We start from the raw sequence: 25778 nt of genomic DNA, 5'->3' as shown, positions 1-25778 counted from the left end.
CCGAGATCCCGCCACTGCACTCCAGCCTGGGCGACAGAGCGAGACTCCATCTCAAAAAAAAAAAAAAAAAAAAAAAAAATCATTGTTAGCACTGCAATCACACGGAAAGGGGAAAAACAGTGGGAAAGGAGTGCTGGGCAGGCAATCCTATGGGCATCCTGGACAGTCCCCTCAGGGTACTCACAAAATGAAGTCACCAGGGAAGGAGAGGGCCTTGTCCTCGTCTTCCTTTTTATCCAAGACAAGATGAAGACAGAGAAGTCATGCCCACTGAGTGGAACTGACATCAGACTCAAGGGAATGGAGAGTCCGAGGGACAGGGCCAAGGAAGCACCGGAACAGATGGGAATGAGGGCACCTGCACCGTCTGCACTTGGGTCTGTAACGGTGAGTGGGAAAACGCGGCTGTGCAGAAACATGTGGAAAAATAATTAAAAGGCTTAAATGGCTCACGCCTGTCATCCTAGCACTTTGGGAGGCCAAGGCGGGCAGATCACCTGAGGTTAGGGGTTTGAGAGCAGCCTGGCCAACATGGCAAAACCCCTTCTCTATTAAAAATACAAAAATTAGCTGGGCGTGGTGGTGCATGACTGTAATCCCAGCTTCTCAGGAGGCTGAGGCAGGAGAATCACTTGAACCCAGAAGGCGGAGGTTGCAGTGAGCCAAGATGGCGCCACTGCACTCCAGCCTGGGCAACAGATTGAGACTCTGTCTCAAAAAAATATTCCAGTAAGATCATTGAGTTGAGAGACAGAAAGTAGGAGAGAAAGAGAAAATATGATACTAGACTGAATTAACGGAAGGCCAATACCATGAATAAGAGAAGTGGTGGTCCAGGATGACTTCTGCTGCTAAAATCACATCTCTGATGTTATAGTCAGTCCTGGGTGTATCACTTTAAGAAAACTGGAAATAAACTGCGTCCCTTCAGTTTGATGTTGGTGGAGGAGCCTGAAACTCACATGAGGACTCTTTAGACCCCCAAGAGAACCTGGTGTGTGTGGGTTTCTCAAAAATAGATCAACAAATGTTGCTGTGGTATGTCTATAAAAACTTTCCTGGCCAGGTGCAGTGGCTCATGCCTGTAATCCCAGCACTTTGGGAGGCCAAGGTGGGCGGATCACCAGAGGTCAGGAGTTCAAGACCAGCCTGGCTAACATGGTGAAACCCCATTTCTACTAAAAATCCAAAAAATTAGCCGTGGTGGCGGGTGCCTGTAATCCCAGCCACTTGGGAGGCTGAGGCAGGAGAATCTCTTGAACCCGGGAGGTGGAGGTTGCAGTGAGCCAAGATCCTGCCATTGCACTCTACCTTGGGCAACAAGAGCAAAACTCTGCCCCCCTCCCCCCACCAAAAAAAATCCTTGCTGGGACCTAAGAAAGCTGTTTTTAAGAGTAAAAGGAGGCCGGCCGTGGTGGCTCACACCTGTAATCCCAGCACTTTGGGAGGCTGAGGCAGGCAGATCACGAGGTCAGGAGATCAAGACCATCCTGGCTAACATGGTGAAACCCCGTCTCTACTTACAAAAAAAAAAAAAAAATTAGCTGGGCGTGGTGGCGGGCACCTGTGGTCCCAGCTACTTGGGAGGCTGAGGAAGGAGAATGGCGTGAACCCGGGAGGTGGAGCTTGCAGTGAGCCGAGATGGCACCACTGCACTCCAGCCTGGGTGACAGAGTGAGACTCCATCTCCAAAAAAAAAAAAAAAAAAAAGAGTAAAAGTAATTTGGATGGCCTTTGGTTGTCCTCAATTAGCTGATCATATAAATTTGCTAACCTTACACATTGCTGACCTTATACATTAATAATAGTTCAGTACAAAGCAGGACTCTTTTAGGCTGAATTGTGTCTTCCAAAATTCATATAGTGAAGTTCTAGTCCCCAGGACCTCAGAATGTGATCCTATTTGGAAAAAGAGCTGTTGTAGAGATAATTAGTAAGGTGAGCTCATTAGGGTAGGCCCTAATCCAATATGACTCATGTTCTTACAAAAAGGGGAAATTTGAACCCAGAGACAGACATATACAAAGGGAAGATGACGTTAAGAGTTATAGGGAGAAGACGGCCATCTATAAGCCAAGGAGAGACGTCTGGAACAGAGCCTAATTTCTTTACAGCTCTCAGAGGCGAGCAATCCTGCCAACAACTTGATTTCAGATTTCTGGCCTCCAAAACTGAGAGAGAATAATTTTTGTTGTCTAAGCTACCCAGCTGATGGTACTTTCTTATAGCAGCCCTACCAAACCAATATTTGGATACCAAATTTTACCATGCATCAGTCTCAACTGGGGTTCTTGCTGACTGCAGATTCTGATTAAGGAGATTTGGGTAGGGGCCTGAGATTCTGCATGGCTAGCAAGCTCCCAGGGGCTGTCAGTGCTGTTGGTTTTCAGGCTGTATTTTGAGTGGAAATAGTCCACCAGGCACAGGCACTCTTACAACGACAATCTTTTAAGCACATTAGAAAAAGATGGTGATAGATGACTGCTAAGCTAATTTGTAAATGGCTATTCATTTGTTCAAATCCAATTAAAAAAATGGATTTCTCCAAATAATTTTTGGATCAGAGGAAGTTAAAAATTGTAAATTATATAGAAATTAAAAATGAAAGCCTATCATGTTAAATCTAAGAGATATGGCTAAAATTTAAATCTGAATAAAATGAATATTTATAAATGTATTATTATACCACAAAGCGGTAAAATAATCAAACTAACCTTATAAACTAGCAAGAAAAACAGGATAAACCAAAAGAAATAAAAATGAACCAATAAAGATAACTAGAAATTAATGAATTGGAAGACAAAAAAGTAAAATTAGTAAGTATAATCAAAAGTTGGCTTTTTGAAAGACAAAACAATGCACATCAAACTTAAAAAGAGAGTGGGAAAACATACAATAAAAAATGAGAAAGAAGGTATGGTACTAGCGGAGATGATAGTAATTAGGGAAATAAGATACACAACTTTTGCCAATAAATTTGAGAAATAGGTGGAATAAAGTTTTATTACAACAGTGTCCTAAATAGCCCCTAGAAATAGAAAGCTTGAGTAGAACAATAACTTTAGAGTAATGTGCAAGTTTATCAATGTCTACCACTAAAAAATGCACTGGTGATTCATAATTACCAAGCAAGTGCTATTTCAACATAATAGGTGATTATCATATTATCCCAATTATTTCAGAGAGTCAAAAACTTTCAAATTCATTTTATAAAGCTAGTATAAGTCTGATATCAAAATCTGATGAAGATAATACAAAAAAGAAAAACATAAATCACAATTTTAAAAACTTGAATCATACATAGACTTTTTTTGAAGAGAAAATAAGGTCTTAACCTCCAGAGATGAATTGTTACTTTAATGTTTCTTAAATATGTGAACCTATGAGCTCAGAATCTCCTTGTGCTCATAAGTTCGTACCCAGCTATAAACAAAACAGTTAAAAATAATAAAATATGGCTAGAAGGGTTAAAATCAAATTAATAAATTAATTTTAATTTCAGGTTGGGTTTTGTTGAAATGACATCACCACTTATAACTTATTTTCTACTTGTTATAGGAAAGTTTATTTCTTAATTTGACTAGACTTTCCTACTATGTAGTGTGTGTTTGCTTAAATCTCTCAGTCCTATTTTTGTATTTGAAATATTGGTTTAAAAAATTCTATTGGCCATATTGTAAAGTAACTTGTCATAACATATAATTTAGGTATTTGGTCTGCCTCTGTTTGACATCATTTGTATAATGTACCTATTAAGTTTACTAATACTTTTCTCATTACTTACTGAAATTTGGTGACAATAGTAACAGGCTGTCCTCCTGTATAAATATATATTAATTAAAAATAATAGGCCAGGTGCAGTGGCTCATGCCTGTAATCCCAGCACTTTGGGAGGCCAAGGTGGTTGGATCACCTGAGGTCAGGAGTTCGAGACCAGCCTGACCAACATGGTGAAACCCCATCTCTACTAAAAATACAAAAATTAACCGGGTGTGGTGGTGCACGCCTGTAATCCCAGCTACTCAGGAGGCTGAGGCAGGAGAATTGCTTGAACCTGGAGGCAAAGGTTGCAGTGAGCTGAGATCGTGCCACTACACTCCAGCCCAGGCGACAGAGCGAGATTCCATCTCAAAAAATATATATATATAAAAGTGGGAAGATGAAATTTTAGAATTCTCATGGAGAATCTCATTAAGAATTTGCAGACTTCTGAAAATACATACATAAATCTCAACTTGAAAAACATGATTAAAAAAACAAGACCTAACTGATGCTGCCTATAAGAAACTCACTTCCCCTTTAAGGATATACAAGGATTAAAAGTGATGAGATGGAAAAAGATATTTCATGCAAATGGAAACCAAAAGAGAGCAGAGGATACTTATACTGAAGTAAAACAGACAGTAAGTCAAAAATTGCAAAAAGAGATGGATAAAGCAGGTCATTTTATAGTGATAAGGGGCCCCTTTCATCAAGAAGATATAACAATATTATATTGCCAGTTGGTAATATAATACCAAGATATAACATCAAGAAGACATGTTGTAAATATATCTGCACCCAACGTCAGAGAACCTAAATATATAAAGCAAATATTAATAATCTGAAGTGAGTGATAGACTGCAATAAAATAAAAGTAGAGGACTTCAATACCCCACTTACAACTATGTACAGATCATCCAGACAGAAAATCAATAAGGAAATACTGGGCTTCAACTATACTTTAGATCAAATGGACCTAACAGACACACATGAGCATTTTATCCAACAGCTGAAGAGCATATATTTCTTCTCTGAGGCACATGGAATATCCTCCAGGATTGATCAAATATTAGGCCACAGAACAAGTCTTAACAATTTAAGATTGAAATCATATCAAGTATCTTTTCTGACCACAATGGTATGAAACTAGAAATCAATAATGAGACAAATTTCAGAAAACTCACAAATATATGGAAATTAAACAACATGTTCCTAACCAACCAATGGGCCAAAGAAGAAATTTTTAAAAAGACATTAAAATGAAAATTAAAAATATCTTGACAAATGGAAATAAAAAAAAATACCAAAACATATGGGATGCAGCAAAAGCAGTACTAAGTTTTGGAATTATAGGAATAAACACCTATATCAAAGCAGAAGAAAGTTTCCAAACACACAACCTAATGTTATACCTGAAGGAACAAGAAAAAGACAGCAGACTAAGCCCAAATTTAGTAAAAGAAAGAAAATGACAAAGATAAGTGCAGAAATAAATGAAATAGAGATTAGGAAAACAATAGAAAAGACAAACCAAACAAAGAGTTGGGTTTTTAAAAGGATAAGCAAATTTGACAAACCTTTAGCTAGACTAATTAAGAAAAAAGAAGACTCAAAAAAACAAGACCAGAAGTGAAAGAAGAGACATAATTGATATCACAGAAAAAACAGAGAATCATAAAAGACTACTATGAACAATTATATGCCAACAAATTGGATAACCTAGGAGAAATGAATAAATTCCCAGAAACATACAACCTATCAAGACTGAATCATGAAGAAACTGAAAATCTGAACAGACTAAAAATGAGTAAGGGCATTCAATCAGGAATAAAAATCTCTCACCAAAGAAAACTCCAGGACCTAATGGGTTCACTACTGAATTTATTTAAAGAATAAATACCAATCCTTTTCAAACTCTTCCAAAAAATTAAGGAGGAAGAAACACTTCCAAACTCATTTTATGAGACCAAATTACATTTTTTAAAAAAAGTAAGGGAAAGCTAAAATGAAAATTCCATTTAATGAAATAATATGGCTATTACAATAATGGCTAAAAATCTGGTTGGACTCCAGATAGTGGTAGTTGCTCTTAGAAGTTAATTTTTAAACATAGTAGTGGGCTCTTTGTACAGAATTGAATTTCCTATTAAATAAGTTATATTTTAAATATTAAAACTGCCAAGTCCACTTTTCTTTCTGGACAAATCTCTCTAAACTTTGTTTTTCTGAACAGTAATCATGTGATGGGGGAAGGGAAGCAAAAGCAATCATACTATTTTAGAAGGTGAGATTTAGGGAGAACAAATGATGATACAGAGAGAAATTCATAACCTAAAAGATATGTTAAAATGGTGACCTTTGTAGTAAATATTCAGTTCAGTGAAATATTGTTCTCTATGTTAATACCATGTTCTATGGTTTGAGTAAATTTAAGTTTTTTATTTTATCATGACCCAGATACATTGTGTCATCATGTACAAACTCCACGTCTCTTGAGTGTACCACATCATGAGTGATATTTGTGGCTTCAAATGTTTGCGTTGCACACAAGTTGCAACAAGGCAAAGTGGCCCTGCTTTCTCCTGTTTCATGGATATCCTTAATGTAAGTACTTCTCATTTAGTTAAAGGAGAATATTGGCCCTTTTTGTCTGGAAACCATCAGAACTTAAAGATGCTAAAAACGCATTAGCACATACACACTACAACATAGATGAACCTTGAGGGCATCATGCTAAGCAAAATAAGCCAGTCACAAAAAAAGACAAATACTATATGATTCCACTTATATGAGGTACTTAAAGTAATGAAATTCATAGACACACAAAGTAGAATGATGACTGCCAGGAAGTGCTGGGGTTGGGAAATGGAGAGTTGTTGTTTATTGGGTACTGTATTATATTACTTCATTTTCACACTGCTATAAGGATACCACCTGAGACTGGGTAATTTCTAAACAAAAGAGGTTTAATTGACCACAGTTCCACATGGTTGGGGAGGCCTCAGGAAACTTATAATCATGGCAGAAGGTGAAGGGGAAGCAAGGTACATTTTACACGGCAGCAGGACAGAGAGCGAGCACGGGGGAAACTTCCACTTTAAAAACCATCAGGTCTCATGAGAACTCCCTCACTACCATGAGAACAGCATGGGGGAAACTACTCCCATGATCCAATCACCTCCCACCTGGCCCCTCCCTCGACACCTGAGGATTACAATTCAACATGAGATTTGGGTGGGGACACACAGCCAAACCATATCATTCTGCCCCTGGCCCCTCCCAAATCTCATTTCACATTTCAAAACCAATCACGCCTTCCCAACAGTCACCCGAAGTATTAACTCATTCCAGCATTAACCCAAAAATCCAAGTCCAAAGTCTCATCTGAGACAAGTCCCTTCCTCCTATGAACCTATAAAATAAAAAACAAGTTAGTTATTTTCAAGATACAATAGCGGTACAGGCATTGGGTAAATATTCCCATTCCAAATGGGAGAAATTGGCCAATTGGCCAAAACAAAGGGGCCACAGGCCCCATGCAAGTCTGAAACCCAGCGGGGCAGACATTAAATCTTCTTTTTTTTTTTTTGTAAGACGGAGCTTGCTCTGTCACCCAGGCTGGAGTGCAGTGGTGTGAACTTGGCTTACTGCAACCTCTGCTGGCTGGGTTGAAACAATTCTCCTGCCTCAGCCTCCCAAGTAGCTGGGTCTATAGGCACGCATCACCATGCCTGGCTAATTTTTTTTTTTTTTTGTATTTTTAGTAGAGATGGGGTTTCACCATCCTGGCCAGGCTGGTCTTGAACTCCTGACCTCGTGATCCACCTGCCTTAGCCTCCCAAAGTGCTGGGATTATAGGCTTGAGCCACAGTGCCTGGCCCCTAAATCTTAAAGTTCTGAAATGATCTCCTTTGACTCCAAGTCTCACATCCAGGTCACAGTGATGCAAGGGGTGGGCTCCCAAGGCCTTGGGCAGTTCTGCTTCTGTGGCTCTGCAGGGTACATCCCCCGCAGCTGCTTTCAAGGGCTGGTGTTGAGTGCCTGTGTCTTTTCCAAGTGCATGGTGCAAGCTGTTGGTGGATCTACCATTCTGGGGTCTGAAGGAAGGTGGTCCTCTTCTCACAGCTCCACTAGGTATTGCCCCAGTGGGGACTAGGTTTGGTGTCTCTATCCCCACATTTCACCTCTGCATTACCCTAGTAGAGGTTCTCCACGAGGGCTCTGCCCCCGCAGCAGGCTTCTGCCTGGACATCCAGGTGTTTCCATATATCCTCTGAATTCTAGGTGGAGGCTCCCAAAGCTCAACTCTTGTCTTCTGTGCACCACAGGCCCAATACCACATGGAAGCCACCAAGGCTTGGAGCTTGCAACCTCTGAAACCACAGCCTTAGTTGTACTTTGGTCCCTTTTGGCCATGGCTGGAGCTGGAGTGGCTGGGACACAGGGCACCTTGTCCCAACGCTGCACAGAACAGCAGGGCCCTGGGCCTGGCCAACAAAATCATTTTTCCTTCTAGGCCTCTGGGCCTGTGATGGGAGGAGTTGCCATGGTCTCTGAAATGCCCTGGAGACATTTTCCCCATTGTCTTGGCTATTAACATTCAGCTCCTCATTACTTATGCAAATTTCTGCAGCTGGATTGGGCTTGAATTTCTCCCCAGAAAATGGGTTTTTCTTTTCTACCACATAGTCACCTGCAAATTTTCCAAACCTCAAGTTCAAAGTTCCATAGATCTCTAGGGTAGGGGCAAAATGCCACCAGTCTCTTTGCTAAAGCATAACAAGAGTCACCTTTACTCCATTTCTCAACAAGTTCCTCATCTCCATCTGAGACCACCTCAGCCTGGACTTCATTGTCCTTATCACTATCAGCATTTTTACCAAAGCCATTCAACAAGTCTCTAGGAAATTCCAAACTTTCCCACATCTTCCTCTTTTCTTCTGAGACCTCCAAACTATTCCAACCTCTGCCTGTTACCCAGTTCCCAAGTTGCTTCTACATTTTTAGGTATCTTTATAGCAGTGCCCCACTCCTGGTACCTATTTTCTGTATTAATCCATTTTCACACTGCTATAAAGATTCTACCTGAGACTGGGTAATTGCTAAACAAAAGAGGTGTAATTGACTCAGTTCCACATGGCTGGGAAGCCTCAGGAAACTGACAATCATGGTAGAAGGTGAAGGGAAAGCAAGGCATGTCTTACATGGTGGCAGAAGAGAGAGAGAGAGAGAATGCAGGGGAAACTGCTACTTTTAAAATCATCAGGTCTCATGAGAACTCCCTCACTATCATGAGAACAGCATGAGGGAAACCACCCCCATGATCCAATCACCTTCCACCAGGTCCCTCCCTTGACACCTGGGATTACAACTCAAGACAAGATTTGGGTGGGGACATAGAGCCAAACCATATCAGGTACAGAATTTCAGTTTGGGATGGTGAGAGAGTTCTGGAGATGGATGGTATCGATGGCTGCACAATGTGAATGTCTGTATTGTACATTTAAAGAGGATTAAAATGGCAAATTTTATGTTATGTGTATTTTATCACATAACAATGATTATGTTAATCATTAACATAATAATTATTAATGCAACAATTGAAAGAACAATTTTTTTGAAAAAAGTAAATTTTGGGGAATAAAAAGTAGCTGTCCAGAGCATTTTCTATCAGGAATGAATGCCCCTTTGGCCAGAAGCCCTTATTGGTGATTTAATAAAAAGATCTGTGGGTAACTCAATTCTTGGAAGCCTCTAGAACACATTTTGTGCCCACGAAGAAGACATTCTCTACACTATAAGCATTAGAATCTTGAAATAGAATCTTGACATTATCTGACTTCAAGTCCTAAAAATAGGAATCTATAACATTTCTAGTATGATCAAATTAAAATCTGGTTAGTAACTGTTTTCTTTCTATCTATCTATCTATCTATCTATCTATCTATCTATCTATCTAGAGAATGAGAGAAAGAGAGAGACAACATACATTTTACTCCTGGTATCTGGCACTTCTCTTTCGATGCCCAAGCTTCTACTGATAATCACATTAAATCCATATTTTAAAAGTTCTTTATGAAGTTCTGGGTTTGTATGGTTAAAATCTGTACCTGCAAGAAAATGTAATTAGAATCATATAAGTAAAGGCTTACTAGCAGTGATGCAGGAAAGGAAAGATCTAGAATAACCAAAACAATTTTTTAAAAGAACCAGAATAGAATTCGGAAATCGATCTGTGCAAAAATGGTCAAATAATTCTTGGCAAAGGTGGGTGTTTTAGTACATTTTGCATTGCTATAAAGGAATACCTGAGGCTGGGTAATTTATAAAGAAAAGAGATTTATTTGGCTCACAGTTCTGCAGGAAGCATTGAGCCAGCATCTGCTCCTGGTGGGGGCCTCAGGAAGCTTCCAATCTTGGCAGGAGGTAAAAGGGAAACAGGCAGGTCACGTGGTGAGAGAGGGAGCAAGGAGCGGGGGATGCCAGGCTCTTGAAACAACCAGCTTTCCCATGAGCTAATAGAAGGAGAGCTCATTACTGTAGGCAGGCACCAAGCCATTCATGAGGGATCTGGCCACGTAACCCAAACACATCCTGCCAGGCTCCACCTTCAACATTGTGGGACAAATTTCAACATGAGACATGGAGGGATAAATATTCTGATTGTATCAGTGGGGAAAGGGAAGTTTATCAACAAATGGTGTTGGATCATCTGGATTATCTGTAGAAAATAACCTATATGTGATGGTCCATTTTCAATTCTAAGTGGCTTAGTATAGGTTTAAGCAGGCTACATGGAAATAGGGAGATAAAGAAGCAGAATGTACTGAGCCCACCCCCACCCCCCGCCCCTTCCTGCTTTCCCTTTCACCCAGCGGCCAGGCGTCTATTGGTGGGGGCCCCCCCAACTACCCCCTCCCCACCCACCAAAGAATTCAGTTTTGGGGCCGGGTGCGGTGGCTCACGCCTGTAGTCCCAGCACTTTGGGAGGCTGAGGTGGGTGGATCACGAGGTCAGGAGATCAACACCATCCTGGCTAACACGGTGAAACCCCGTCTCTCCTAAAAATACAAAAAAAAAAATAGCCAGGCGTGGCGGCTGGTGCCTGTAGTCCCAGCTACTCGGGAGGCTGAGGCAGGAGAATGGCGTGAACCCCGGAGGCGGAGCTTGCAGTGAGCCGAGATCGTGCCACTGCACTCCAGCCTGGGCGACAGAGCGAGACTCCATCTCAAAAGCAAAACAAAACAAAACAAAAATTTAGTTTTGTTTAGCTTGCAACATAGGTAATTGTACCCTTTCTTATCAGCTAAGTGCAGCCACTAGGGCCATAAATCAAATGTTTGAAGAGTCCTGAGAGAGTTGCAATGCATTGTGGGCTGCAATAAAATGCAGCAGAAAGACCCTAAAGAACATACTTGAAGCCCCTGTCTAACAATCAATAGGCGACATCCGGGAAGATGGTGACCTCATAGTACTCAGTCTATGAGGAACCGGGGAGGGATCTGCGCACTAGGGGATACATTGCTGGTTGAAACTGTGCTGGCTGTGTCTGCGTGCCAGACACCCGCTCTTGCATCACCGCCATTAAAAGTCTCACTTTGACTATTCTCTGGGTCTCTGAGTCCATTCATTGGGTTTGGATGGGTGAGTTTGTTTCTCACAATATCCATATGGAAAAAATGAGCATTTATTCTTACCTCACATCATCACAAAAATTAACTCGAAATAGATCATGGCCTTAATGTGAAACCTAAAACTTTAAATTCATTTCCAAAAGAAAACATAGAATGAAATCTTTGTGAACTTGTAAGCAAAGGTTTCTCAGATGAAACATAAAAACCATAAATCATACAAGAAAATGGGATGAATTGAACAGCACCAAAATGTAACATTGTGAGGCATTTTGGGGACTTATGAAAAATAAAAAACCGAAAATTTTAAAATGTAAAATTGTGCTTTTTGAATAACACCATTAAAGAGAATAAAAAGGCAAACTACATATTTGTCCAAAACATTTGAAACTCACATATCAAGAAACTTGAATTTAGGATATATAAAGAAGTCTTAAAAATTAAGAAGAAAAACATGCCATTTAAAAATAGACAAAAGATTCCAAAAGATCCTCTACAAAAGACAGTATATGAGTGGTTATCAAGCACATGAAAATGTGCTCAAAATCATTAGTCATCAGGGAAATACAAATTAAGACCAAAGTGATGGCTTTACTCACCCATTAGAATAACTAAAATTTAAAAACTGGACCATGTCAAGTGTTGGCAAAGATCCAGAGAAAATGGGATTCTCGTACACTCACGTAAAGTGGCCCAGCTACTTTGGGGAACAGTTTGGCCATCCCAATACTTGTTTCACTTGGCAGAGAATCAGGTTCTACTCACATCCCAGAAAGCAACACTGTCCCCCTGGCACTCACCCTTGGTTTGCTGTTTCTCTCCTTTCTCTCACCATCCGAGTGGTAAGACTGAGAGCCAGAATTAGGGTGTGACCTCGGGGAAATGAGCAGGAGACCTGCCAAGGGGCTGTCGTGTGTCACACGCTGGAGTAGTGCTTAGGGTAGGGTTTCAGGCCCACACCTACCTAGTCATCTAGTGGGAGGGCCGTTCAGAGCAGGGATCCACAGAAATAGTAGGCCTGTGTGTTAAGGCTTTAATTTCTACTCTTATTTTCTTCATCTTTCTTTGGGTTTATTTTGTTAAACTAGGTCTTCATATTTGTATTTTATTTATTTATTTTTTTTTGAGGCAGCATCTCACTCTGTTGCCCAGGCTGGAGTATAGTGGCCCAATCATAGCTCACTGTAACCTTGACTTCCTGGGCTCAAGCGATCCTTCCACCTCAGCTCTCCAAGTAGCTGGGACTGCAGGCATGCACCACTACACCTGGCTAGTTTTTATTACTATTTTTGTTGAGGTGGTGTCTTGCTATGTTCCCCAGGCAGGTCTTGAACTCCTGGCCTCAAGTGATCCTCCTGCCTTGGCCTCCCAAAGGGTCGAGATTACATGTGTGAGCCACCATGCCTGGCAAAACTAGGTCTTCATGTGTGGGAACATGGAAAAATAATCTTACAAACATAGTGATGAGGGACAAAAGCAAATTCCAAAAAGATATGTGTATCAGAATACCTAAAAATATATTAAAAATATAGAACACAATATTTTGCTTAGGGATAATATACAGAGGAAGTGGAAAGACATACATGAGAAAGACACCCATCAATTCAGGTCAGACAACCTCTGAGGGTGGCGTGGGGACGGGAGGGAGGTGGAGTTTTTACTGTACTATTACAACTTATTTCTTGGAAAAACAGAAAGCTCTCTGAAGCAAATATAGCCAAATGATATTTAAAATGATAAATTTAAGTGGTAAATACATGCATACTTGTTTTATTATTTTCTATGTATAGATATATACACTATATAAAATAATTTATATCTTAAAAAGTAAATTGCTTTAAAAAGGATAGTCTCGTACTCTTCCAAATATTAAATATTGTTGTACATTTTCCCCTTCAAATGGCTAACGGAAAAAAATCCAAATACTTACCTAACATAGACTTTGCTTTATCTTCATCAGTCCTTTTGACTATTACATGAGGTTTTGGTATTTGCTCTGAGCCATAGATAATTTGCTGATGCACTTTTTTTCCAGGGGACCAAGCTGACAGAGGCTCCTGGCTTTTCTTCTGCCAGCTGCTCACATGATTATGGTGCAAATATATGAATAACAGAGCTGTCCAGATCCCAAATGTCAAGGACCCATAGAATAAACCTTGAATTATGGCATTTCTCATTGTAAATCTAGCATTTTCAAAGGTCCATTTTTCAATTTCCTAAATCAGAATGATTTAAGAGGAGCAGCATTAGATATTCCAATGGTTTGTAGATCACCTACTTGGCTTAAATTCCATTTTTAGTGTTTTAAAAACAATCACGTTGATGGCCCTTATCATATACATAAAGTGTGTCCTTATTTCTATTAGCACAAATTCCTAAAACTGATATTCCTAAGATTATTTAACATCAAAATGTATAACATGCTTATAAAACATACGGTGTCATTTCAAGTCATTGGCCCATACTCGTGTACATATAGGAAATACCATCAAAGAAGGCTTACTCATCCCTTATCCAGATCCAGTCTACCTTGGAGTGATAGTATGGATCTCTAAAAAATCTGATCTGACTTCAAGCAGCTTGTTAAAAATGTAAAAACACACAATCACATGCTGGAAATAAAGGGAGCAGTGAGTACTGTGGCCCACCACTGATGAATGGCACAATGGCACAATCGTTTTGGCAATATCTAGTCATGTTGAAGATATGTATATGATATGACAAAGCAATTCCATCCTTAGGGATATATCCTAAAGAGACTCATAAGTTGCAGCTCTCATCTAAAGAGATGTATCATGAGACAGGTACAAGAATGTTTATTGAAGTAATGTTTGTCATAGTGAAAACTAGACACTGGCCGGGTGTGGTGGCTCATGCCTGTAATCCCAGTATTTTGGGAGGCCGAGGCAGGTGGATCACCTGAGGTCAGGAGTTCGAGACCAGCTTGGCCAATATGGTGAAATCCTGTCTCTACTAAAAATACAAAAAATTAGCCGGGCATTGTGGCAGGCACCTGTAATCCCAGCTACTCAGGAGGCTGAGGCAGGAAAATCGCTTAAACCTGGGAAGCGGAGGTTGCAGTGAGCCAAGATCGCACCACTGCACTCCAGCCTGGGCAACAAGAATGAAACTCCGTCTCAAACAAAAAAAAAAAAAGAAAGAAAAGAACAAAAGAAAACTAGATGCAACTGAAGTTTCCCTCAACAGGAGAACTAATAAAGTGAGGCTACTCTTTCAATGATGGAAATGAATCAGCTGGAGCTATGTGTACTACTGCTGTAAAGTCTAAAAAACATCATGTGCAAAAAGCAAGTAGGGTGTGATATAAATTTGGAAAACATGAAAAGCAGTGCAATTATTTATGGGTACACCAATATGTAGCAAATGCATGGGAAAAAAACCATGCATGTGAATGATGTACCCAAATTTACATAATAGTGATTATATATATATATAATAGTGAATTTACATAACAGTGATTACCTCCATGGTTGGGGGGAGGAGAATAAAGAACTCCTACTGTATCCCTTTTTTTTGAGACTGGGTCTCACTCCCCTCACCCAGGCTAGAGTGCAGTGGCACAAACATGGCTCACTGCAGCCTTGATTTTCTGGGCTCAAGTGATCTTCCTACCTCAGCTTCCTGAATAGCTGAGACCACAGGCACATGCCACCACGCGTGGCTAATTATTATTATTATTATTTTTTTGTATAGACAAGGTCTCACTATGTTGCCCAGGCTGGCCTTGAACTCCTGGGCTCAAGCAATTCTGCCGCCTTAGCCTCACAAAGTGTTGGGATTACAGGTGTGAGCCACCATGTCCAGCCTCCTACTGTTAACGCTGATTTTTTAATTAAGCTCTGAAGAAAATGTGGCAAAATGATGTGATTTGATTGAGCTTGATAAATGAGAACACAGAGTGCTCATGATATTTTTCTCTATATTTTCCTTCTGTTTGAAATTGTAATTTATTTTAAAAAGAAAGAAGAAAGTCTTGCGAGGTTTCCTTTAAAGATGATAGATTGAATGTGTGTGTGTCTTCTCTCCCTCTTGACTCAACTGAATAAGAATAAAGCTAAAAACTCTCATGGGAAAAGAGAGCGGTAGAGGGAACATCAATGCACATGAGATTTTAACACGTCTGGAGGCGAGAACGTTATTGGACGTGTGGTAACAATTTGGAAAGACAGAGGACTCTGATGTGGAAACAAGGCTGCTAACCCTGGAGCAGCTTGGGGCTTGGATGCCCCTGGTGAGTCAGTGGACACATGGCTTTGGGCTTGGGGAAAGCCACGTGTTAGTATTCAGAATAGTCAGCTCTCTTTGCCCAGCCCTGCACAGCAAAACCCAGGCAGGAGTCAGAGTGGTTTCTTCTTTGGAGAAGTAGACTGGTAGAGGCTGAGCCTCTACAAAGGAAAACTTGGGGCTAAAACCAAGAGTGTCACTTAGAATATGTGGATGTGGAGTGTCTGGGTCCATCTGTCTTCTTCCCTTCCTCCCACACAGGATCCCGGCAGCCAGGTTGCTACGTCTGAGGTGGGATTGATAGAATTGTTCTGGGATGAGAAGACAGGGCCTGGAGAAAAGACCTCCACATGCTGAAATGTAAGAGCTTCCAATAAGGCAGGCGGCTCCCTGGGTCGTCCCCCTGAAGACAGCACACCTGTGGCCAAGGTTGGCCCAACACTCAGCTATTCCAATCAGCTGGTTGGCATCTCACTTTGGGATTGGAATCAGTATTAGTCTGTTTTCACGACACTGATGAAGATACCCGAGGCTGGGTAATTTATACAGGAAAAGGGGTTTAATGGACTTACAGTTCCACGTGGCTGGGGAGGCCTCACAATCAGGCTGGAAGGCAAGGAGGAGCAAGCCACACCATGGATGGCAGCAGGCAAAGAGAGAGTTTGTGCAGGGAAATTCCCCCTGATAGAACCATCAGATCTCGTGAGACTTACTCACTCTCACGAGAACAACATGGGAAAGACCTGCCCCCATGATTCAATGACCTACCCCTGGGTTCCTCACACAGCACGTGGGAATTCAAGATGAGATTTGGGTGGGGACACAACCAAACCATATCAGAATCGAATGCTGCAATGAACGGAACTGTGTCCCCCTGCAACTCACATGTGGAAGCACCAAGCCCCAGTGCGACTGCATTTGGAGACAGAGCTTTTAAAGAGGTAATTATGGTTATATGAGGTCACAGGGTGGGCCCAATTCCAATAGGACCAGTGTCCTTATGGGAAGAGGAAGAGTCCCCAGGCAGGTGCTTGCACAGAGAAAAGACCGGTGAGGGCACAGCGCGAAGGCAACCACCTGCAAGCCCTGAAGACAGGCCTCAGGGAAACCAAACCTGCCGGCAGCTGGATGCCGACTCCAGCCTCCAGAACTGTAGGAAAATCAGAGTTGGCCAAGCCTCCCAGTCTGTTGGACTTGGTTATGGCAGCCGGAGCTGACTCCTACAGCTGCCAAGGATTGCCTGAGACATTTGAGGAAAGACTCCAGAAGGAAAGAAAATGCAAATAGAACCAGAAAGGGGAAGAAAGAAATGAGAACTTTGAAAATATCAAAACATTGATGTTGGTTGCTCAGAGAGATCAAAGAAGGTGCTACAGTCATACAACCAGAGGAACAGGCTATCAAAAAGGAGCATTGAGAGAATAAAAAGGGGAAGCTGCAATTTAAAACACGATTGTTCACATTTAAAAATTAGAATAAATGGCCAGGCGCAGTGGCTCATGCCTGTAATCCCAGCACTTCCAGAGGCCGAGGTGGGCGGATCACTTGAGGTGAGGAGTTGGAGACCAGCCTGGCCAACATGGTGAGACCCCATCTCTACTAAAAATACAAAGATTAGCTGGGCATGATTGCCCACGTCTATAATCCCAGCTACTCTGGAGGCTGAGGCACGAGAATGGCTTGAACCCGGGAGGCCGAGATTGCAGTGAGCCTAGATTGTGCCACTGCACTTCAGCCTGGGCAACACAGTGAGACTCCGTCTCAAAATAAATACATAATAAAAATCATTAGAAAAATGGTGGGAAAGGAATATTTTGAAATGCACAAGAAAATGGCAGAGGGAAGCCTAAGAGAAAGTTGAGACCTGTGGTGTTTCATTCTAGAAGGCAGAAAGAACATCTACCCAGTAATGAGTTCCACAAAGTGATGAGAGAAAAATGGAGAGGAAATTGTCAACGCAATCATACAAACATTTGCAGAACTAAAGGGGCCCACAGAATGCCCCATATAATGAATGAGACTAGAAAGAGTGTCAAAATGACATCAAACTTCTCAACAGCAACACTGGATTGTGAAACTATAAAACAGCTTGAAATTTTATGCATCAATTCTTGATCTAGTCAAAATTTAATCAAGCTTGGGAGTGGAATAAAAATATTTTCAGCTATGTAAAGGGCTCACAAAAATTACTCTCCATGTATTCTTTTTTTTGGGAAACTACCTGTGGATTGCAAATGGCAATAAAGGAAAAAGCAAATAAAGAAGACATGGGCCGGGCATGGTGGCTCACTCCTGGAATCCCAGCACTTTGGGAGGCCGAGGTGGGTGGATCACTTGAGGTCAGGAGTTCGAGACCAGACTGGCCAACATGGTGAAAGCTTGTCTCTACTAAAAATAGAAAAATTAGCTGGGCATGGTGGTGGGCTCCTGTAATCCCAGCTACTTGGGAGGCTGGAGGAAGAGAATTGTGTGAACCCGGGAGGTGGAGGTTGCAGTGAGCTGAGATCATGCCACTGCACTCCAGTCTGGGAGACAGAGCAAGACTCTGTCTATTAAACAAACAAACAAACAAAACCCAGACATGGACCCAGGACATTGAATGCAACCCCGTTGAGAGGAAGAGTATGTGGGATGGAGAAGTTTAGGTGGATGACACAGCTGATGGTAAAAATTAAGGAACAGTATTTACAGAGTGATAAGATGCAAACACTGATTACTGCATTAACCAAAAAAAAAAAAAAAGAAAAAAAAATCACACAGACTTTTTTAAGGAAAAATAAACTAGAAGAAATGGAGGTCATGTAATAAAAATGAAGTTGATGTATAAAATTAATTAAAAAAATAGAAGTCTAAGAACTCCGTTTAAAATATGAAGGTGGGCTGGGCTCTGTGGCTCAGGTCTGTAATCCCAGCACTTTGGGAAGCTGAGGTGGGTGGATCACGAGGTCAGGAGTTCAAGACCAGCCTGACCAACATGGTAAAACCCTGTCTCTACTGAAAATACAAAAATTAGCTGTGTGTGGTGGCATGCGCCTGTTATCTCAGCTACTCAGGAGGCTGAGGCAGGAGAATCGCTTCAACCCGGGAGTTGGAGGTTGCAGTGAGCCGAGATCACACCACTGCACTCCAGCCTGGGCAACAGAGCGAGAGACTCCATTAAAAAAAAAAAAAAAAGAAGGTAACTATCATAAGAAACAGATTGAAGAGTCAAAAGTGATTGTAAGAGGGAGTTGAACTGGGGGCTGGGCAGGAACTGGGCAGGGACCTGCTGATTTTCTTTATAAGATTTTGTTTTTATTTTATTTTTTATATGTATGCATTACACTGAAAAATATTTTTAAAATAAAGATTTTCTAAACAGATTAGAAATGCAAACCATATCAAACAGCATGGATACTGGTAAACACAAGAATACATCAGCCACTTGTCCCCTGGACCCTGCCCCTTTCCATCACATGTCATCCCTGCACCTGGAAAAGGTAATCCCTGAAATGAGCCTTAGGCCCTGCAGGTAAATCCAAGCTCTAGGACCGTCAGCGTCTGTCCTCCTTCGACCCACACTCTGATTTGCTCAAGTATCCTCTTGGCCTTTGAATATTTACTATTGTCTCCCATTTTTGTCCTCTCTCTAACTTGAGAACAGAATTTGGCTTCTACAGTTTTGTTTTGAGAAAGGGTCTAGCTCTGTCACCCAGGCCGGAGTGCAGTGGTGCAATCTTGGCTCACTACAGCCTTGACCTACCTCCCTGGCTCAAGTGATCCTCCCACCTCAGGCTCCCAGGTAGTTGGGACTACGGGTGCCCACCACCACACCCGGCTAGTTTTTGTATTTTTTTTTTTGTAGAGTTGGCGTTTTGCCATGTTACCCAGGCTGGTTTCGAACTCCTGAGCTCAAGCAATCTGCCTGCCTTGGCCTCCCAAGGGATTAATCCCAAAGTGCTGGGATTACAGGTGTGAGCCACTGTGCACAGCTTTGTTTTGTTTGTGAGTTGGTGTCTCACTCTGTCACCCAGGCTGGAGTGCAGTTGGCATGATCATAGCTCACTGCAGCCTCGAACTCCTGGCTTCAAGTGATCCTCCGTCTTTGGCCTCCCAAAGTGCTGGAGCTATAGGCACACGCCCCCATGCTTGGCTTTGACTTCTACGGTTTTGACCTTAGGCATGTCCCAGGAACTGGCTTGCATATACATTGTAGCTTCAGTAGGAAACCCACGCTGCTTGACAGAACTTGGTATCCAGAGCAATTCCATGGCATCAAAGCACCAGAATAGGACATTGTCCCCTCAAAGAGACTTGAACTCACCTGGACAAGATGTCTTCTACATGGGATGCTGTGCTGCGCTACCGAGACACCGCCTTCAGGGCAGAGACACCCATTCTCCCAGCTGCCATGAGAAGTAGCTGCCACAGGCTCACAGCTCATGACCGAGGCAAGCCGCTTTGCCCAAGTGTCCCCCTCTCTGGGGATCTCGCATTCAAAGACTGGTCAATGGGTGCAGCTCCCTTGTCTATCTGGGGGGACTCTGGAGAGCGCAAGCTGCCTGTGGGGTGGGTGGAGTCTCTTCTGGAAGCTGCACTGCCATCTAGGCTCTTCCTCTGATTGAACCTACTTGTGTCCCTGCCTTGCAGTGTTTGTCCCCAGATCTGCTCCGAATAAAGTTTTCCATGCAAATCTTAGTCGAATAGTCTTCTTCCTGGGGAACTTGACCTAGTATGATGGTTGCTAATGGTCCAGGAAAATGGGCTGTAAAGGGGATTTTAGGGCTAAGCCACCCTCCAGGCGGCTGGCCCTGAGCATCCCATTGCTGGTGGAAAGGTGGTGTTCTGAAAGCCCCTGGCATACTGTGGCTGATATGTGCTTGTTAAAATCTCACTGGCTGTGAATCAGGATGGAATATAGGTGGAAAGGAATTTTCTGGTTGGTGCGCTTGACTGAGGAACAGGGAGGAGTAATTATAAATATTGCAAGGTAGATGGCTATTGCCGGATGCCATGGTTGCATCTGAAAAAGGCAAGGAAGGCTGAGGGTGGTAATCACCAATTTAAAGCAAATTAACAGAGTCAGAGGCCCTTGTTAGCATATGAAGGATCTCATTTCCTACAACCGAAGGGCGGGGAGAGCTGAGGATCATGCCCAGGGCCTGATTATCTGGGCAGCAGAACTCCAGGGAAGGTTGAATTCTCAAGCCTGGCTGGTCTTCTATCCAGGGAAGGAGGAAGGCTCTGACACGTGGGATGGGGATGTCTGGGTAGAGACACGCCAGAGACCTGGAAGGCCCAGGTCCACAGGAACCCTCTGAGCCTACAGAAATGGCCCACTGCTCCCCAACAAGGCTAGCTCTCCTCCTCTGCTTTGCAAGGCAACACGTGCCCTGCCTCAGGACCTTCCCCCCAGTACCCTCCTGGCCACCAGATCAATAAGTAGGGTCACATTACAACTTAGCCTGTGTGGGAAACTGCTACCCTGCTAAGGGAAGAAGGAGAGTGTTCCCAAAGGAGCTGCAGAATCAGCCATCTTGAACCAGCAGGCACGCAGGGTGTATATATGGGACTGAGTCCAGAGGATACAGATTAAGGGAGGGGGAATGTAAATTTTGATTTGGGAGCATTTATTACAACAGGAATATCCCCCAGGACACAGGCTTTAACACTCTGGCCAAGATCCTGGGTGCAAAATAGAGATTCATTGATTGAATAAATAGCACTTTACAAATGAAATATTTGATTATGCCAATTAAAAGTATCAAATATATAAAGAGAAGAAGGCAACTTCTAACTAGGGAAAATGGCGAATTAGGACGCCTGAAAAGAGAATAAAGCTGTTTTAATTTACATTACCACCATATCTCCCTATTAAATATCTAAATTTTAAAGTTATCTAAAGTTAACTTCCATGTCAACTTTCTCCAAAAACCAAAAGCAATTAGAAACTAGTTAAAAAAAAAAGGTAAGGGGAGACAACCAAATGTAATATACAAAATAAACACATGCACTAATATGATAGTGATAGCAACAGGAGACAGACAAATTCCTAGGCAGAGAGGGGCAGGTCCCCAGTGAAATCCAACCTTCAAGCCAAAGACAGCTTAAAGCCTGAAAACTGAGTTGCCAGAGTCCACGACCGGAGTGAGAACTTCCTCAATGCCTTGTAGCCAATCAAATGGTGTTATTTCCAGGCCCACCTGGAAGGACTGGTGCTCTTTCCAGCATGTACTTCCCCATTCTGAGCCCATGAAAACCCCAGACTCAGCCCCATGTTGGGACTATCCATCTTTGAGCCCCCTCTCACACAGAGGGCTACCCACTTTGGATCCCCTCTTGTGTCAAGAGCTGTTCTGTTGCTCAATAAAACCCTTCTCTGCCTTGCTGACTCTCCAGTGTCTGTGTAACCTCATTCTTCTTGGACGCAGGACAAGGACCTGGGACCCACCGAATGATGGGTGCAAAAGGAGCTGTAACACTGTAACCTTCCCACCTTCTGCCAGTGCCAGATGGCCACCCCACATCATGGGAAGTGGTGGTAGGGCTGGGCCAGCCTAGGAGCACCAGTGGGCTGGAGCAGGATGGTGGGACAGAATGAGCTGTAGCACAAATGAGCTGCAACACACCCCTTGCACTGTTTGCCGCAACCAAACAAGCCATAACACACCCCCCTCCCCAACCCCGTTTCACTATGCTGCAGGTGGCAGGAAGGAGACAGAGAGCTGTAACAGTCCTTGGGGGCTCAGACCTTGGGACTCCCCAGGTGAGAGCTGTAACACCCCTTGGGGCTCTGTGGCGGTTGGCATCTCTGAGTTTTCAGGCACCACCATGTTCCCCCTCATCCAGATGCTGGTGCCCAAGGTGGAAGATGGTTGTGGCACACTCAGACCAGCCATGGGCTAAGCACAGAGTGGTGTGTGTGTGCAGAATCTAGGTCGGTAGTGCCAGCCGAGTGCAGCCTGCTGCGTCCAGTGGGGAGAGCAAGCCCAGAGGTGAGCCTAGAGCCAAGTGAGGCCCAAGGACGGGTGCTGCCAGCCGGGAAATGTCCAGCTGGCAAAGTGACATTGAAAGAATCCTGTCTCAATAGGATTATTACTGAAAAATAAATTATTCTCTAGAAAGATTCTAATACATCAGGAAAACTTGGGGGGAATTCTCTTTAGACGTGAACACTTATGAACATATCCCCAACCTCCTTAATTTTCTTATTTTACTAATATGAGTTCTTATATTATGTTTTCTCTGTGACAAGCACCTCACCTCCCAACCCACCCCCTATACTCCCACAAAACACAGAAAACCCCTCCTATCAAGAGATCGATGTAAGAGGTGTGTGATTGGCCTTTGGACTTTGTGTCTTCAGAAGAAAACCATGTTCAGTTATTTTCTTCACTAAAAGATGCAGAATTCAATGCTAGAAAAGCACAGAATTTGTAAAATATATTTCAACGAGGATTCATATGTACAGCAAATAAAATTTTAAGTGCATTAAAGAGACTTAGCAGATGATCAAAAGAATCCTGTAGAGAAAAGAATGCAGCTAATAGTCACCAACATGCCCCCACCAACACGCCAAAACCCTAGCCTAAATCTGCATTTACAGTCATTGAGTTTCTTTCTTTTTTTTTTTCTTTTCTTTTTTTTTTTTGAGACAGGGTCTCGCTCTGCTGCCCAGGTTGGGGTGCAGTGGCCCAATTACAGCTCACTGCAGCCTTGACTTCCCAGGCTCAAATGATCCTCCTCTTTCAGCCTCCCAAGTAGCTGGTACTACAGGCTGGTGAGTGCCACCACGCCTGTTTTTTTTTTTTTTTTTTAAATAGAGATGAGGTCTTGCTATGTTGCCCAGGCTGGTCTCAAACTCCTGAGCTCAAGTGATCCTTCTGCCTTGGCCCCCAAAAGTGCTGGGATTACAGGCATGAGCTACCATGCCTGGCCAAGTTTTTAAAAAAATACGAGTCTATTGAATCAGGAAAACATGACCATGCTTTAGATAATATCACAACTAATTCTTCTGTCAATAATCAACACTTTTTTTCCTTTTTTTTTTTTTTTTTCTCGAGACAGAGTCTCACTCTTTCATCCAAGCTGATCTTGAACTCCTGGACTCACATGGTCCTGCCACCTTAGCCTCCCAGGAGCTGGAATTACAGATGCCAGCTGCCGTGCCCAGTTTATAATCAGCATTTTTAACCCCTAGCTTTCCTAGGACCATCTTAATACTGATCTCCATATAAGATCTAGGACTTTATGACACTGCTAAGGGCCTTTATTTCCCTATTTTTTTCAAATAAGTAATACAGTCACTGTATAAACATTACCAGCATAAAGACACATGTAATGAAAAGTTTCCCTATTTTTCATGAACTAAAGCCATTACAATGCCCAGTCCACGTTTAGGGTGGTGTAACCAGCTAGGAGGCTACTCCTTCTTTAAAAAATAAAATAAATCTTCTTAAACCTAATCCCCAGAGCTAGCACCTCCTTCAAGACGCAGTGATTTGATGTACTGCTTCCGCTGATTCAAAGTGAAAGACGTTTCCCCCCATCTTTGTTCCCACTTCTAGCACATGGGGCTCACTTCACCTACCCTTGAGATAATTGCATTGGCTGCTTTGTAACTGATGAATTTTCCAAGCAGAGTCACAGCTGAATGAGGCAGGGGTCTGTGCCGAATGAACTGAGAGATGTAAAATTTTTTTTAGCTAGCAGGCTTTATGGTGGCTGGGTTCCAAGCAGATACCTGGTTGTGCTGGGTTGCGGGGCCACACAGTAGTACTCAAAGGGCAGTACAGTCCCCCTCACAAAGCCTGATGACATCACACAGGGCGTCACAGCCCCACAGGGGCCCCTGCCTGTAAGCTCCAACCAGCAGGTGGAATCCAGGAGTTCCAAGGTCCTAAGGGTCCTTACCCCTCAGCTGAGAAAATAGGGAAAGCCTCATATTAGGTGAGGCTAGAATCCAGGGTGACTCTCTTCTCTAGGCAAGGCCTAATTTTTAGCTTTTTATATTTATTTATTTATTTATTTATTTATTTATTTATTTATTTATTTATTTATTTTTGAGATGGAGTCTCGCTCTGTCCCCCAGGATGGAGTGCAGTGGTGCAATCTCTGCAATCTCTGCGATCTCCGCTCACTGCAAGCTCCGCCTCCCGGGTTCACGCCATTCTCCTGTCTCAGCCTCCGGAGTAGCTGGGACTACAGGCGCCCACCACCACGCCCGGCTAATTTTTTGTATTTTTAATAGAGATGGGGTTTCACCGTGTTAGCCAGGATGGTCTCCATCTCCGGACCTCGTGATCGGCCCGACTCGGCCTCCCAAAGTGCTGGGATTACAGGCGTGAGCCACCGCGCCCGGCTAATTTTTAGCATTTTTGAAATAAACTTAAGAAAAAGAACAAGCTTTCAGAAAACATGAAGAAACTTAAAGATGAGCCAAAGGGTTATTTGATTGCCTTTTAATTCTTTACTCTACGTTACTCAACATTTAGATGTCAGTACACAAGTTCAGCCAAATGCTTGTGAAATTTCTTCTGAACGCATCCCAGGAGACTTGACCCTCCCCGCTTCAGGATGCTGACTCTGTTTTGCCTGAAACCAGACAAGCTCTGCTTCAGGGTCTGTGAGTGGAAGGGGGTGGGTGGGAACCTCTCGCAACCTCTCCTGGGACAGACACAATGGGCAATCGTGACCTCCTGGGGTAGATACTGAAACTGTGACAAGTGATAACAAAACTGGCAGAAATCAGTTGGACCCAATATGGCCAACTGGAGTTTCTGCAGAAAGAGCTTGCTGATATCACAGCCTGAATTTCCACGCATGTTTCGTATTAACTGCCCCGGAATTTGATTTGCACACAGCACCCATGAGGAAGCATGAAGAGATAACTGCGCATGTCTGAGGACTTGCCAGACCTCCTCTTTCCTTCCACCGATCTCCTGCTAATCCCGGAACCCACCCTCTAACCCTTTTCTAATAAAATTATTTCCTTAAAGGCAGCACAGCGAGACAGATTTGAGCTGGACTCCTGTCTCCGTGTTGGTCAATTTGCAATGAAAAGCTTTTCTTTTCTCTGAAACCCAGTGTCTTAGTATTTATTGGCTTCTAGCGCACGGGTCAGTGACCTCTTTTGCTCGGTAACAACATAATGGGCTATAA

At 42.8% G+C, this 25778-nt stretch overlaps 1 protein-coding gene and 1 long non-coding RNA gene across 11 annotated transcripts in view; one reads left to right on the top strand and one right to left on the bottom strand.

Moving 5' to 3' along the window:
• Window positions 1-24371, bottom strand: part of GALNTL5 (polypeptide N-acetylgalactosaminyltransferase like 5) — a 63484-nt gene extending 39113 nt beyond the window's left edge. For 2 of the 10 annotated variants that reach the window (NR_033169.2, XM_006715862.5), the window contains exons 1-4: window positions 24208-24371; window positions 22931-23034; window positions 13324-13609; window positions 9752-9872 (exon numbers count right to left, since the gene is read on the bottom strand). Coding sequence is in view for 8 of the 10 variants with exons in the window: in XM_006715862.5 (XP_006715925.1) it covers window positions 9752-9872; window positions 13324-13570 (368 nt within the window). In the remaining 2 variants the exon portion in view is untranslated. Of the gene's footprint in view, window positions 1-1790; window positions 1866-9751; window positions 9873-10115; window positions 10319-11055; window positions 11145-13323; window positions 13610-19941; window positions 21551-22930; window positions 23035-24207 lie in introns of those variants that run through there. The other 8 variants (NM_145292.4, XM_017011796.2, XM_017011795.2 and 5 more) reach the window with 8 other exon arrangements.
• Window positions 24372-24471: 100 nt separating this feature from the next.
• Window positions 24472-25618, top strand: LOC105375571 (uncharacterized). The gene is made up of 2 exons (XR_928179.2): window positions 24472-24566; window positions 25112-25618. It is a non-coding gene; the product is annotated as an uncharacterized LOC105375571 (long non-coding RNA).
• The last annotated feature ends 160 nt before the right edge of the window (window positions 25619-25778 follow it).

The sequence above is a fragment of the Homo sapiens genome, chromosome 7 (genome assembly GCF_000001405.40).
Source record: "Homo sapiens chromosome 7, GRCh38.p14 Primary Assembly".
NCBI classification, from domain to species: Eukaryota; Metazoa; Chordata; class Mammalia; order Primates; family Hominidae; genus Homo; species Homo sapiens.
Note: the sequence above shows the minus strand (reverse complement) of the source record. Positions and strands in the feature narration are given on the sequence as shown.